Consider the following 16,916-nt stretch of genomic DNA (forward strand, 5'->3'; position numbering starts at 1 on the left):
ACTATGTCCACACTGTTAAATGTACATTAACACTTGCAATAAAGAAACAAACATTAGTTGATCCAGTCATCTCCCATTGACAGACCATCATCATTCTGGTACACAGAGAAATATACACTTCAGAAGCTCATGGCATGTTTCCTCCTTGATTCAGGTTCCTTGTTTATTACCACATGAACATTTCTCTGGTATATTTTTAGTACAATGTGTTATCCTAGACTGATCATATGTTCACAGATTGTGAGGAGCCTGTGAAAGACTTTTTGCTGTACTTGCTATTGGGCAAAATCCTGTCTGCTACCTGGTATTCATGTAGAGTAAACTGCAATGTGGAAACAGATGGTATGACCAAGTGGGAGAGAGACTCTGTCTGCAAAACTGGGAGAGCTTCACTCTGACTGGGGGTGGAAGAGGAATGAACAAGTCCACCCCAGCGTAAAAATAAGATGAAAATATAAAAGAATGTCAGTGTTGAAGGTTACTCCTTTTGATTTTGCCAATATCCCGGAACCATGTGAGCACATGAACATTCCAAAGAAGAAGATACCTCCAGGTTCTTCAGATGGTGAGTGGAGCCTTAGTGTTTAAACCACTGTGGCTTAATACATGACACTTTGCATGAGATAATTTGACCAACTCAAGGCACCCAGTGTATCCTTTTTTGCATTTGAGAATCAAAAGGAGCAATGTGTTTCCCTACAGGTTGTCTGTCAAATTATAAATGAGGCCTCACTAGTATTTTATACTTTGTATTGCCTTATTTTCATCCAGTCACTAAAATTAAGATCAAATTATTTTTCTTCTTTTGAATTCGAAAACTGAAATCAATTTTCTCTTCACAGCCCAGAGCTCTGACTATGGTTTAGCACCTTCCACGGGGTGAGAGGAAGTTAGATAAATTGGAATTTGTTTCCTGTTCCCATGTGAACTGCTACATCTGTGCATGACTCTCCAGAATATTTACTTATTTTTATAGATTTTGTCCATGCTTATGTTTATAAAACAGATGTGTTAATTGAATTTTTTAAATTTTTAATTTTTTTATTGTTGTGGGGACATAGTAGGTGTACATATTTATTGAGATGTTTTGATATAGGAATGCAATGCATAATAATCACATACATTTTTATTTATTTTATTTTATTTATTTAGAGAAAGGGTCTTGCTCTGTCACCAAAGCCAGAGTACAGTGGAGCAATTATAGCTCACTGAAGCCTTGAACTCCTGGCTCAAACAGTCCTCCTGCTTCAGCCTCCCAAGTAGCTGTTAGTGTGTGTTAACTGGATTTTTAAAACACAGAAAACACCTGATCAAAATTAGCCCAGTTCTAAAGAAGTCAATTATATATTTAATCATTGTATTAGTCAGAGTTCTCTAGAGGGACAGAATTAATGGAATACATACATATATATATATATATATATATACACACACACATATATATATACATATATATACACATATATATACATATATATACACACATATATACACATATATATACACACACACACACACACATATATATATATATATATATATGAGTTTATTTACTATTAACTCACATAATCACAGGGTCCCACAATAGGCCATCCGCAGGCTGAGGAGCAAGGAGAGCCAGTCCAAGTTCCAAAACTGAAGAACTTGGAGTCAGATGTTTGAGGGCAGGAAGCATCCAGCATGGGAGAAAGAAGGCTAGGCCAGTCTCTCTTTTCACATTCTTCTGCCTGCTTATATTCTAGCTGTACTGGCAGCCAATTAGATTATGCCCACTCAGACTGAGGGTGCGTCTGCCTTTCCCAGCCCACTGACTCAAATGTTAATCTCCTTTGGCAACACCCTCACAGACACACCCAGGATCAGTACTTTGTATCCTTCAATCCAATCAAGTTGACACTCAGTATCAACCATCACAATCATGCATCTTCAGTTCTCCCAATTATATGCCCAGGTCACTAACCTGACTGAATCTGGATTATCTAACCAAGGTATCATATTAATGGCTGAAAAAACAAACAAACAACAACAACAACAAAAAAACAGGTTGAGAAAAAAAAGTTTGCTTTGGTTACAGGTCATTATAAGCGAATGCTTATTGCTAGAATAATTTATAACTGAATTAAACATTGTTTCTTACACTCTCCAGTGACATACACAATGCTACATTACTCTTGGCACCAGGAAGCTGCCAAAGTTTCAGATTCGGCCAGTGGACTGATTCTCTTAGAGCAGACCTGGCACACTGGAAACAGCTCCAGGGCCTGCTGGAGCACCTCACCCTGGTTATGCTGGAAGCAGCTAGAGTGGATGCTGATTCTACTCATGCCACCTTCATCTGTGAACCCCCAAAGATCTCACAATGTAACTGATATACAGTCAGCATTAAATAAACATACATATTCTGACTGTATGCCACTGGTTCAAAGGGCACTAAAATTATTACATTAAGATGAAACAAATGCATAAGTTCAGGAGGTTATTGGCTTCTGCTTCTCTGTGCAGATGCATGGAATAGCAAGGAGTGTGAAGAACTGCTAACTCTGTTGTCTTACAGGATCATCCAGGTTAGTTGAATGGTCTGGTTATTTGGAAATTATCCAAAGATGCAGTGTTGAACAGCAGAAATAGCCAAGACAAAGAGGCAAGATCCTACGTGTCAAACTGTGCTCTCCCTTGCTTAGCTTTCTAGTGCGGGACCTTTCTCTTTCTGGTACACCTCTATTCTTTCATCCATAAGTTATGACTTGCTCTGTTTTCAGAGATTTTCTGAGGACATATGTTTGCAATATAGTGAATGTTAGTGTGCCCCCAAAATTTGTGTGTTGAACCCCTCATCTCATTATGACTGTATTTGGATTGGGAGCTGTTGGAAGATAACCAGGACATGAGGCTGGAGCCCTCATGAATCGCATTAGTACCTTTATAGGAAGAGACCAGAGAGCTAGCTGGTTCCTTCCACCACGTGAGGTTACGACAACTCATTAGTCTCCAATTTGGAAAAAGAGCCCTCACCAGAACCTGAGCATGCCAGTACTCTGACCTTGGACTTTCACACTGCAAAACTGTGAGAAATAAATTTCTTCCGTTTATACCCATCTGGTCTATGATAATTTGTTACAGTAACCTGAACTAAGACGGTGTTCCCACTGTAGTTTGTTACTTCTTAAACCAATTAGACTTTTTTTTTTTTTTTTTTTGAGACAGAGTCTCACTCTGTTGCCCAGGCTGGAATACACTGGCACCGTCTCAGCTCACTGCAACCTCCGACTCCCTGGTTCAAGCGATTCTCCTGCCTCAGCCTCCCAAGTAGCTGGGATTACAGGTATGTGCCACCAAGCCCAGCTAATTTTTGTATATTTAGTAGAGACGGGGATTTCACCATGTTGGCCAGGATGGTCTCAATCTCCTGACCTCGTGATCCACCCACCTCGGCCTCCCAAAGTGCTGAGATTACAGGCATAAGTCACTGCACTCGGCCACCAATTAAGCTTTTAAAGAATGTTTATATTTAATCGTAAAAATAAATATTCATTATGAAATGCAAGAGAAACAGAAAACCATAAAGTAGATGATAAAATTCATATTGCATCTTACTGTCCAGAAGTAGCCAATATCAAATAAGTAATGGTTAAATTCCTGAAATAATTTCTTTTATGGTAACTTTTCTTTTCTGTGTATAAATTTTCTTATTTGAGAAAGTTAGGATTATATTAACCATACATTTTTAATCCTGCTTATTTCATTTTCTTAGGTCTATAATATTTCTCTAAAGCCTGATATTTTAATGGCAGAATGATATTTGACATTAGTTGTTGTACCATTTTGAGACGGAATCTCACTCTGTCACCAGGCTGGAGTGCAGTGGTGCGATCTCGGCTCACTGCAACCTCTGCCTCCTGGGTTCAAGCAATTCTCCTGCCTCAGCCTGCCGAGTAGCTGGGACCACAGGCGCGCACCACCACGTCCAGCTAATTTTTGTATTTTTAGTAGAGATGGGGTTTCACCATGTGTGGCCAGGATGGTCTTGATCTCTTGACCTTGTGATCCACCTGCCTCGGCCTCCCAAAGTGCTGGGATTACAGGCATCACCGCGCCCGGCCTGATGTACTATTTCTAACAAAATCATTCCTCTACTTTAGATTGTTCCTTATTTTCTAAATTATAAAAAATTCAATGAAAATTCTTATATATGAATTTCTCTCTCCCTCACTGGAAATGAGTACAGAAAATGGAGTTGCTGGGTCAAAAGACAAGTCTTTCTAATTTTTTCAATCTTCATATACACATTGCAATGTTGCATCCAGGTAAATAACACCAAATTATTGTTCCAATTAGCTATATATACATTCTAATCAAGACTGAATATACTCACTTAAAAACATGGCCATTTTTGAATATGTGAAGTAGTAGCTCATTTTTTATTGAAAGTAAGATGGTCATGTGTGTGTGTTTTGGGTGTGTGTGATGTATTTTTCTCTGATTTATCTGTTAATGCCTTTAGTTCATTTTATTTCCCTATCAGTTTTAATTTGTAAGAAATACATTAAATGAACATGGTCCCTTCATTATGTTTTTTATATACTGTATGTATTTTAACTAACAATTAACTCAAAAGTCTTTTATACAGCCCTATTTCAAGACTTACTATAAGGCCACCATAATAAAAACAGTGTAGCGCTGGCAAAGAATCAACAAATACATCAATGAAATAAAATAGAGAGCCCAGAAATATATTCACATTATATGATCATTTGATATTCACCACAGGGACACAACAATCCTACGAGAAAAGGAAAAGCTTTTAAACAAATGATCCTGGAACAATACGCTATGCAAATTAAAAAGTAAACTTTGACCCCTATCTCACACCATGTACAAACATTAATTTGAGATGGATTCTCGAATCCATCTCAACATAATAGCTAAAACTATAAGTTTTTAAAAATAGTATATTTTTGTGGATTCCAAATAGAGAAAAGTTTCTTTAAAAATCATAGAAAACAATATCAATGAAATAAAAATACATATAAATTGTATTTTTAAAAAATTAACAACTTTGGTTCATCTAAAGACATCAAGTAAATGAACAGGCAAGCTGTAGACTGAGACATACTTGAAGTTTACACACCTGACTTAGGACTGGTAACTAGCATACATTTTCAGAAACAAAAAATAATAAAGTTTATAAGGCAATCATAAAAAGAAAAAAATGGAAAAAAGATTTGAACATATGCACAAAAGAGGCTAATTTATAAACAACCAATAAGCACATGAAAAAGCACTGAATATTATTAGATATTAGGAAAATTCAAATTGAAACCCCAATGAGATATCAAATATCCACTGAAGTAGCTAAAATCAAAAGAGAAATAATGTTAAAGGTTGATGAAGACTTGTGGCCACCAGAACTTTCACATATTGTTGATGGCAGTGAAAATCCTGCAATTTTAGAAAAAGCTCCCTTAGCATCTTAAAAAAAGTGGATCAACCTGTAGTGTAAGACTTGGTGATTCCAAAGAAATGTATTTCCACAAACAGGCTTGTACAAAATCATTTATTGGAGCCTTATTTGTAATAATCCCCAAAAAGAAACAGCCTAGATACCCAACAATAGGACATTGGATAAATAAAATATGCTTTTACAGTGGGATATTAGACAGCAATAAAAATAATAAATTACTGATATATACAATAACATGGATGAATTGCCAAAGCCTTATATGGAGCAAAAGAAGTCTTACACACTAACATACACTATGATTCTACCTGTATAAACTTCTAGATTAGGCAAAACTAATTCATGGTGTAAAACAATCAGAACAATGAATGCTTCTGTGGAAATGGGGGTAAAGATTTATTGGGAAGGAACATGAAGGAACTTTCTGGAGTGACGGTCATGTTTTGTTTATTAATAGCAGGTTGTTTTCTCAGGTAATCAAGTGGTCGCATGATTTGAGTATTTTATTGTATGTACATATTACTTGAAAAGAAGAAAACCCATAAATAAATATTGAATTCTAATGATACGTATGCTGAAGTATTTATAACATGTACTAAAGTCTACAACTTATTTTCAAATACATTTTCAGAAAAGGAAGGAGAGATAGATGTGTAATAAAAACAAGTATAGCAAAACATTAATTGTAGAGACTAGTTAGTGGGCATATGGGTGTCCCTTCTGAAATTCTCTCAACTTTTCTACATGTTTGCAAATTTTCATCATAAAACAGGACGGGAAAAAAGGAACCTAGCAGAATGGGAGAGAGAATCTATTCCCACCTTTTTTTGTGTAGACAGTGTAACAGGTTGGAATTCAGGATACAAACCAAATATAAGGAATAGGTTTATATATTAAAAACTTTGTAGCCGGGTGCGGTGGCTCACACCTGTAATCCCAACACTTTGGGAGGCTGAGGCGGGCAGATCATGAGGTCAGGAGTTCGAGACCAGCTTGGCCAACATAGTGAAAGCCTGTCTCTACTAAAAATACAAAAATTAGCCAGGCGTGGTGGCACGTGCCTGTAGTCCCAGCTACTTGGGAGGCTGAGGCAGGAGAATTGCTTGAACCAGGAGGCAGAGGTTGCAGTGAGCCGAGATTGTTCCACTGCACTTTCCAGCCTGGTCTAGAGAGCAAGACTCCATCTCAAAAAACAAACAAGCAAGCAAACAAACAAGTAAACAACAACAACAACAACAACAAAACTTTGTGATTCTTTTAAGTTATACAATCATTTAGTTTTTTATGTAGATATATTATCAATCTTTGAGTTGGGATGTCCAAACGTAGCAAATATATTAATACCACTAGTATATAAACAATATTAAATAGTAGCTTTAGTATTGATAACCTTTTCTCTTTTAGAAGAACACGGCTAGTGGTTGACCATTAAGTACAAAGCTGACTACTGTTTAATGTATTTAATCCAGATAATCTTTGCCCTTCAATAGATTAGGACAATATTTAGTGTGATAACTAGTACTTTGAAATTATTCTCACCATTTTATGGTGTGTTTTCTTTTTACTACCTCTTTCATTTTCTACCTCCCTAGTATCTATTTTATTAATAATATTTCTTTTATTTCTTTTTTGTTTCGAGATAAAATTATATTTTTTAGTATTTAGTTTCACTATCAATTTTAAATACACACTTAACTCAAATTATTCCAACAAAATCTATTCAGTATTTTGATCCTTTTCCTTAATGTTTCTCAGACTGCTCCTTTTACACATTCTCTTAAAAACTTTATTTCTGTTATTATTGTCAGAAGGCTAAATGCAAAATTGATCAAGATGAATTATTTTAACATCATTGGTGATATTTATAAATATGGTTTACAATATCTTTGCTTACCTCCTTTTCTCTGATTTTTCTTTTTGGTATTTACGTTAGAAAGGACCAATAGGGGCCGGGTGCGGTGGCTCACGCCTATAATCCCAGAACTTTGGGAGGCAGAGGCGGGCGGATCACGAGGTCAGGAGATCCAGACCATCCTGGCTAACACAGTGAAACCCCATCTCTACTAAAAATACAAAAAATTAGCCGGGCATGGTGGCGGGTGCCTGTAGTCCCAGCTACTCGGGAGGCTGAGGCAGGAGAATGGTGTAAAACCCAGGAGGCAGAGCTTGCAGTGAGAATCCGTCTCAAAAAAAAAAAAAAAAGAAAAACAGAAAAGACCAGTAGGTAGTGACTTTCTACTCTTTATATGCCTGAAAAAAAAAAAAAAAAAAAAACTATCTGTCTATCTATCTATCTATCTTCTCTAATTAACAGTTTAGCACTACATAGAATTTGTGGATTATAGTCTCTTTGTCATTTGGAAAACTTTGTTAATGAGAAGCTTGCTGCATCTGATTGTAATAGTTTTTTAGGAAATCCGTTATGCTTTTTAATAACATTACTATTATTTGTGTATGCTCAATGATCTATAGTTTAGTCTGGTGTGAAGTTTAGATTTATTTGTATTTATTCTTCTCTAGATGGAATCTATTTTAATCTAAGGGCTTACTTTTTCTTCAATTACAGAAAATGTCTGCCAATATTCCTCTTCTGCCATTTCTTCTAGAATCTTCTGGTGGAGCAACTTCTAAAACTTTGTTGTGGTTTCCCATCTTAATTCCATGTCTTTTAACTGCTTTTTGAGTACTTTTATCTCTTTATTTCAGTGGTTCTAACTGGGCGAGGGGTAGTCACCTGGACATTGGACAATCCAGTTTTGGTTGTCGCAACTGGGGAGGGGGTGCTATGGGCATGTAGTGGGTAGAGGTTATAGATGCTGCTAAAACTCTGCAATGTACAGGACACTCCCCACAACAAATAATTATTTAGCCCTAAGTGACAAAAGTGTTGATGAGAAATCCTACTTTATTTCTGTGCCCCACCTTCTAGATGAATTCTTTGTTACTATTTTTCAGTTCACCAAATCTCCTTGCTGCTATCTTGAGAGTATTCCATATATTGAGATTTTATTTTAAATTAAGATTTTTTTTAAATTTCCAGTCTTTCTCATTTTAATAATGCCTGGATATCTTATATCTACCCATGTTTGCTTCATAAATTCTTGTTCATTTACTGCATTCTAAGTTCTTTATTCATTACATGATTTAAAGCACACTCATTTTAAAATCATTTTTGCACATTCTATTATTTTCGTTTTCCTTGGGGTGAATTAACCTTCAAATTGTTGGTTGTCTGTCTTAGCATTAGTTTACTTTCTGTGTTTTAATAGCTTAGGTTGCAGGCTGATATTAAATGGAAATTTTAGTTCTCCTTTTCTTCCTACATACTTTCACCCCACCCTTTTATTTTTTTCCTTTAACAATTTTTCACAGTTGCCTGAAGTTGGATAGCAGTCTGGGGCTAGATCTTATGCTAGCTATTGAGACCTTTCCCACAGTGATACTGAGAACAATGTTGATCAACTCATGAAACCAGAGGGCAGCTTGACCCAAGTCTTGGTTGCTAGGTGATGCCTGCTCCTTTGACGTCCCTGGTTTATAATTATAACTACAGTGTAGCTTCAGGCTCTAGTTAGACTTAGCTTGTTTTTTTTCAACCTCTTTTCAAGGAGATGAGCTTCCTCAGCCCTCAGTTTTCAGTAAAGAGACTGCCTCAGTGAACAATATTTATTCTGGTAATGCCACATGTATCATTTCAGAATCCCTGCATACTTGAAGCTTTAAGTTCATTTTATCTTTTTTCATCCACAGAAATATTTAACTTTTACTTGTGGTTCATATGCATAGTCATTTCTTCTTTTTATATTTTACCATTATGCTATACGTCTGGTGCAGATGGGGTCCTTAAATATCTGAAATTACATTATCCCAACTAGAAGTCTCCTGGCTCCTAGTTCAAATAATAAACTAATACTTAACCATTTTTATAGTTATTTTAAAGGTTTTATTTTTAATAACAAATACGAGTAGAATTATATCAGTTATCTTTCCAGTGACACTTAAGATTTTTTCCTTAATTAGCCTATTTAAATAAACTATAGTTTTATATAACCAAATATAACTTCATAGTTACATTCCTGTCATAAATTCTCTTTGCTATTCCTATTTCAAAATATTAAATTCAATATTTTAAATGTAATATTTATACCAATATTTTAAATATAATATTTATACCAATATTTAAAATAGAGATTAGTTGTCACCTTTTATTTTAGTCTATTTATTAAATTTTATTTTAAACTTTTATTTATAAGATAAATTGATAGGTCCATTGAAATATTTCTCTAGGTTATTGAAAAAAGTATGTTATATTTATAAATACCAATTATTCAGAAATTTGGTGAATAAGTCCATCATTCAATCTGGTTCAGGACTATTTGGAGGATTTGTTCTTTCGAAATTATCTCAATGTTTTTGGCTATCTATTATAGGAGTATTAAACCACAATAATCTTTACCAAGTTATTCAAACATATTTCCCATATGTTATGGCATCCGCTACTCATTGATTTCTTTTTTTTAATCTCAATATTTCCTCTTAGACTGTGTAGTAAACATTCTGAGGTATTTTATGCTATTATAACAGATTACACACATATTTAAATAATAATTTGGCTTGAAATAAAAGTGTGGTAGAATTTATTTTTCTTCATAATTTAAAAATATTTCTATGTTTCTATTTTATATCCAGCATTGGTACTGAAAAATTTGGCATCAATCTGATTATTATTTTGCCATGATTTATTCTTCCTCTATAGAGACTTTTAGAATAATATATTTCCCTCCAATGTTTTAAAATATTGCTGCAATATGTCAAGATGTAGGTTTTTAATTCTCTCCAAATTGATACTCTAAGAGCCTTTTTAATGCAAGGTATGTAATCTTTTTGAAATTTTTAAACTGTATATTCATTATTTCTAAAGACATGTTCTCTTTTCTGTTTTTTTCCTTGTCTTCTGAGACTCCCATTACTATATGTTGATTCTTTCTCCATCTTCTTTTTTTTTTTTTTTTTTTTTTTTTTTTTTTTTGAGACGGAGTCTCGCTCTGTCGCCCAGGCTGGAGTGCAGTGGCGGGACCTCGGCTCACTGCAAGCTCCGCCTCCCGGGTTCACGCCATTCTCCTGCCTCAGCCTCCCAAGCAGCTGGGACTACAGGCGCCCGCCACTACGCCCGGCTAATTTTTTGTATTTTTAGTAGAGACGGGGTTTCACCGTTTTAGCCGGGATGGTCTCTTTCTCCATCTTCTAGCCTGGCTTATTATTTTATTTTTCTTCATCAGTTTCTGTTCCTGTGGAGTTTTTCCATGTGACTTTTCAGCTGTCTAATTCCCAGCTTTTTCTTTAGCTGTATCCATCCTGGTGTTTATCCCTTCTATGTGTTCTTTGTTTTAAGTATTATATTTTATTCCTAATAAAGTCAGAGGGAGATTACACACACATACACACATGTATCTGTCTATTTTCTCTTAGCTCTTTGTGCATATTTATTATATTTCTTGGTTTGTCCCAAAATTCCGTTCTATTTTACATGTGTGTGTGTATATATATATATATATACACACACACACACACACACACACACATATATATGTATATACATCTGAATATTTGTTTCTTTAATGAGTGTACTCCACAGGTGTCTATTAATTTTGGTATTCCTGATAACATGTTTTGGGGTAGACCCAAAGGCTAGGCCCTTGCCTGCGTCTCTCCATTGTGTTTATAAAGAGGGGAAGGGACATGCCCCAGGGCTGAGAAACCCAGGCCCCACAGCATCATGTTAACCACTATATAAGTCTCCTAGTCAAAGATTCACTTTTAAACTACTTTAAATAAGCAATTTCCTGTTTAGTTTATTGAGGGGGTTGGAGGAAGAGTACACAAAAAAGTAAGGCTAGAGAGCAGCAGCAGTCCAGACCCACCATCATCTGCAAACCTACCGTTTGATAGCTTCTGTGGCCTGGGCTGTCCTATATTTTTCGTGGCAAAGAAACTGGTTATGCCAAGGTGACACAGAAAGGGAAAAACAAAACTAAAACAGCTTTCCCCCACACTACTCACCTTTATCTGCCTCCTATTATCCTGTGCTCCTGCTGCAGACATACCACAGCCCTCTCCACACAGAGACTGCTTCTTGGTAGTCTTCAATCTCAGCTTGATTTATTTTCTTAATTATTGTTATTTTCCTTAACCTATACTTTCCTTGAGCTTCTGTAGTCTCTCTAGCATTGATTCAGAAGAATAAAGTGTGCAGTCCATTCAAATTCACCATTACAGCAGCAGGTACTGGAAACTTTTATAGCATTCTATGTCTGGTTATTCAGATTTTTTTTCTACTTAAAACCTTTCTTAAAAATTGAAATGTATAATATTTGCAAAAGTTTTCATAAGTAAATAATTTTAAGATATATTAAACCCAGTATATCTTTTTTTAAAAAAACCTATATTTATTTTTACTTTTTATTGTTACTTTTTCTTGTTGTCCTCCTTAAGACTTTGAGAGGATTCTTCGGTTACAAGCTTACTTTACATGTTTTCTATTTTTCTGTATGGGTCATTCAACTTATACAGAATTTGACACTGTGAATTTTCCTCTGAATACTTCAGACAGATTTTCTGGGTTTTAATATGTGCTATTTCCTTTATCATAAATAACTTGTTCTTTTTATTACTAGTCACCTCAATTTGTACACTCCCATTCCCCCCCCCCCAACCGCCAAATAATAAAATGTTTCCCTGATTAAAAAAAAAACAACAACAACAAATTTCCAAGGCACTTATGGCTGGGGTGCCAGCCTTTATATAGAAACTCAGAAACCACCAATAACTAGGCATAACTAGGAAAAGAAAATTAATCACCACAGAGCTGAAACTCCCTGACTAGACAATTTTCTAACACTGTTGATTTTCCTCCTAAGTCACTTTTCCTATTTTAGCACGGTAAGCAGCTTTTCACAAGGGATCTGTAGTGTTGTATTCAAACAAGCACGGCTGTATGAAACACTTCCTCTCTAGCTGGAACGTGTCAATCATTTCATGTAATTAATTTCCTAATGATCCTGAAACATTTGCTTTCTACCTGAATGATCTCATTCTGGTACCAGGCAATTTTCTGGAGCATTTTAAATGTAAAGTTTGTAGGTAAACCCAAGTAAATACATTGTAGACAACTTGCAGAGGAAAAACTCAGGATCAAACCTTTTCCCAATGAAGTGTATAATATTTTCTTTGACGGAAGCAAAGTGATATATAGCGTGCCACAACTAAACTGTAAAAATACCACGACCTTTCATCAGTCTCAATTATTAGGAGTAATAGCCTCAGGCTGAAACTACTTGAGAATCCCTGATGATATTTAAGACAGAAAAACTACAGAATCTAATGCAAAGTCCACGGCCAAACTGTGCTGGGATAGGGTTGCCTAGTGGTCCATTCATCATTTTTTTTTTCTGCTTACACTGGGGCTGACATCTACTTATTAAGTCTTTCCCTGGGTCATTTCACACTGCTGGAGAGGCAAAGTAGAAATCCCATCAGGAGGCCTGCATTTCCAGAGGGAAGGGAGGGATTTTATTTTTGGTGCCATCATTATCTTATTAGGCAAAAGGAAAACTGTTGGTCCTGATAGATCCCTTCCTGTTCTTTCAAAAGTCATATCCAGTGTAGATGAGTGCCCCAATGCACAGGAAAGTGCTAGGAGAAATAAAACAAAAAACTGCTGTCCTGTGAAATAGTAATATTTTTCAATAGCTAGGGACCACGCCTTGCTGATGAGGGAAGCCAGGCTGAACTGAGCATTGTAAACAGACTGTGACAATCTACCGGAAGAAAAGAAGGGATGGGAGGAATCAGTAAACAAGATTCAAGGAATGGGTAAATCTTTCATTAAATACTATGGACTAAACCTCCTCAGTGGAGAGACTAGCAATATTTCACTGAAACAGGCAGTGACAATATGCAAGCAGATTGCTTTTTATCCAGGATGGAATTCAGAAACCTTTGTTTTCCCTGTTCTCTGACATGTGGCACTTTACTTAACTAGGAATTTATGAAACAAACTGCAGCAGTATTTGCAACACCTCCAACTGTGTCACCAACGGAAATCATGTATGTCATATCACATATCACATTTCAATTGTAGGAGATATTATGGAATACCATTTTCATGGACCAATACTTCTAAAATATAATGTTCTTGGCCCTGACACTAACTCTTATTATATAATAAAGAAACACATTTTGTTCATGCCAAGTGAAGGCAAAACAAAAAAAAGAAGGAAAAAAGAGAAACAGACATTACTATATCACTTTTTAATTATTTTATAACTATACTTCAATATAATTTATTTCCTTTAGGATCATGTGCATTTTATTTTATGCATTTGAAAAACTTTTTTTTTCCTCAGAAGGAGGTCTATAGGCTTTACCATACTGCAAAGTCCATAGCACAAAGAGCTTAAGAATGTTTGCCTTATTCTAAATTTATATTCATTAGGCAAAATCACTCCCCTCATTCCTTCAGGGTTTGTGTGTGTGTGATCTCAGTACACAAGTATAGACACATTCAGATCACTGTGATGAACCCAGTCAATTTCAAAGATGGTTTTTCCTATTACCAAAAGTCTAGATGCAACAATGGCATCTAAATACAATGACATTTAAAATCATCTTAAGATGTGTTTTTAAATATGTCAAATATTATTATGACATATTATGTTTTTAAATATGTCTAAATATATAAGTTAGTCAAGGATGGAGGCTCAAAATAGACCTAAGACCCTTCCTAGGCCTCCTATCAGTCTGTAGAAACCTTGGCTCAGGAGAGAAAGGTTAAGAACTGGATTTTACTTCCCTTATAGTAATCTCTGAGTTACTGGTGAGCAATCCCACCACACGCTCACCCCAGAATAAATATCCTAGGTCATGAACAACTAGATGTGTAATGAGATTCAACAGGGACAGTCTGTGAGGGGTGGGCAGTCACGAGGGGTGAATGGAAGGTGGTAGTCTGCATCATTGCAGCACAGTCTTTTTTTTTTTTTCATGGAAACCTCTGCACAAACCAGGTAGGCATTTACAAAGCAAGAGGCAGCTTGAAACACTTGCCAGGCCCAGAGAGTGCAACACCGTCATACAGCAATGCTGGTCAAGGGATATCTTCCTTTCACCTTTATTTTTGCCCTCAGTTCCGCCACACTCCTGCTGCTAGGGTGGATCAGAACCCAGTCTCAGTATGATGGGGAGAGAGAGAGATGGAGGTAATGAGGACCACATCTCCATTCCTGGCTTCTTGTTTGAGGCAGGCTCCAACTGGAGGAGTTGAGAAAATTTAACTTTAATCAAGTTTGGAGTTTTGCATATTAAATGCATTTGGACATTCTAATTTCTGAACGAAGATTCTGTTTGGTGACTTAAGAATCCATGGTACTTATTTGCATAGTCATCTCATGCCCCAAGATATAGCTCAGGCAGAGAAAGAAATCCCTTCAATGAATTTTAAAGAGACAGAATACAAAATTAAGTGGCATTATGGTTACACTCCACGAATCCTATACATTCCTAATGAAGCTTATACTGATTTTTGTCTTTTTTCTCAGCTGTACAAAACTTCTTCTGTGTTTAGTTTGCTTTATCCCAGATCCCCAGTCAGTTCCTAGTGTTCATTCCCAGGTTTGTTCTTGTCCAGAAAGCCTCCTCAGTTCATTCCCTTGCAATATAAACCCTGCCTACCCATCTGGTCTGGCTCAAACCCATTGCTTCAGCTATGTTTTATTTAAATGCACAGTCCACATTGATTCCTTTCTAATTTCTATTGCTTTTTGCAGTACCACTTATTTACAATTGCCATATTCCATTTTTATACAATTTATTTTTTTCTTTTTCAACTTTTTGGTTCAGGGGGGTATGTGTGTAGGTTTGTTGCATGGGTAAATTGCATGTTGCTGAGGTTTGGTATACAAATTATTTCATCACTCATGTTGTGAACACAGTAACTGACAGGCAGTTTTTTGACTCTCAGACTCCCCTTAGCCTCTACCCTCAAGTAGACCCTGGTATCTCTCATTCCTCTCTTTGTGTCCATGTGCACTCAATGTGTAGCTCTCACTTGTAAGAGAGAATATGCATTGGTTTTCCATTCCAGCGATAATTCACTTAGGATAATGACCTCCGGCTGCATCCATGTTGCTGCAAAGGACTGATTTTCCTCTTTTTTTTATGACTGTGAACCACATTTTCTTTACCCAGTTCACTGTTGTTGGGCATCTTGGTTGATTCCATGTCTTTGCTACTGTGAATAGTGCTGTGATGAACATATAAATGCATGTGTCTTTTTGGTAGAGTAATTTATATTCCTTTGGGTAATGGGATTGCTGGATTGAATGGTTATTCTGCTTTAAGTTCTCTGAGAAAAGGCTTTTAATAAAACTCAACATCCCTTCATGTTAAAAACCTTCAACAGACTGGGCATTGAAGGAACATACTTCAGAATAATAAGAGCTGTCTATGACAAATGCACAGCCAACATCATACTGAACAGGCAAAAGCTGGACGCATTCTCCTTGAGCACTACAACAAGAATAACAATGCCCACTGTCACCACTCCTACTTAACATAGTACTGAAAGTCCTAGTCAGAGTAATCAGGCAAGAGAAAGAGATAAAAGGTATCCAAATAGGAAAAGAGGAAGCCAAACTATCTCTCTTCACATATGATATGATTCTATACCTAGAAAACCCCATAGTCTCTGCCCAAAGGCTCCTGCAGACTGATAAACTTCAGTAAAGTTTCAGGACACAAAATCAATGTAAAAGATCAGTAATATTTCTATACAGCAGTAACATCCAAGCCAAATCAAGAATGTAATCCCATTCACAATAACTACAAAAAGAATAAAATACCTGGGAATTCAGCTAATCAGCAAGGTGAAAGATCCCTACAATGTGAATTACAAAATGCTGCTGAAAGAAATCAGAGATGACACAAACAGATGGAAAAACATTCCATGCTTATGGACAGGAAGAATCAATATTGTTAAAATAGCTGTATTGCCCAAAGTGATGTACAGATTCAATATGATTCCTATCAAACTACTAACATCATTTTTTACAGAGTTAGAAAAATCTATTTTAAAATTCATATGGAACCTAAAAAGAGCCCGAATAGCCAAAGCAATTCTAAGCAAAAAGATCAAAGCGGGAGGCATCACCCTACTTGGCTTTAAACTGTAATACAAGGCTGCATGTATTAGTACCAAAACAGCATGGTACTAATACAAAAACAGCATGGTACTAATACAAAAACAGACACATAGACCAATGAAATGGGTTAGAGAACCCAGAAATAAAACTGCACACCTACAACCATCTGATTTTTGAGAAAGTCAACAATAGCAAGCAATAGGGAAAAGACTCCCTATTCAATAAATAATGCTGGGGTAACTGGTTAGCCACATGTAGAA

At 36.1% G+C, this 16,916-nt stretch overlaps 1 long non-coding RNA gene across 1 annotated transcript in view; it reads left to right on the top strand.

Moving 5' to 3' along the window:
- The first annotated feature begins 391 nt into the window (after positions 1-391).
- Positions 392-16,916, top strand: part of LOC646736 (uncharacterized) — a 37,269-nt gene continuing 20,744 nt past the window's right edge. The window contains exons 1-2 of the long non-coding RNA NR_046102.1: positions 392-565; positions 3,205-3,322. This is a non-coding gene — a long non-coding RNA (uncharacterized LOC646736). The remainder of the gene's footprint in view (positions 566-3,204; positions 3,323-16,916) is intronic.

Source organism: Homo sapiens, chromosome 2 (assembly GCF_000001405.40).
Source record: "Homo sapiens chromosome 2, GRCh38.p14 Primary Assembly".
NCBI lineage: Eukaryota > Metazoa > Chordata > Mammalia > Primates > Hominidae > Homo > Homo sapiens.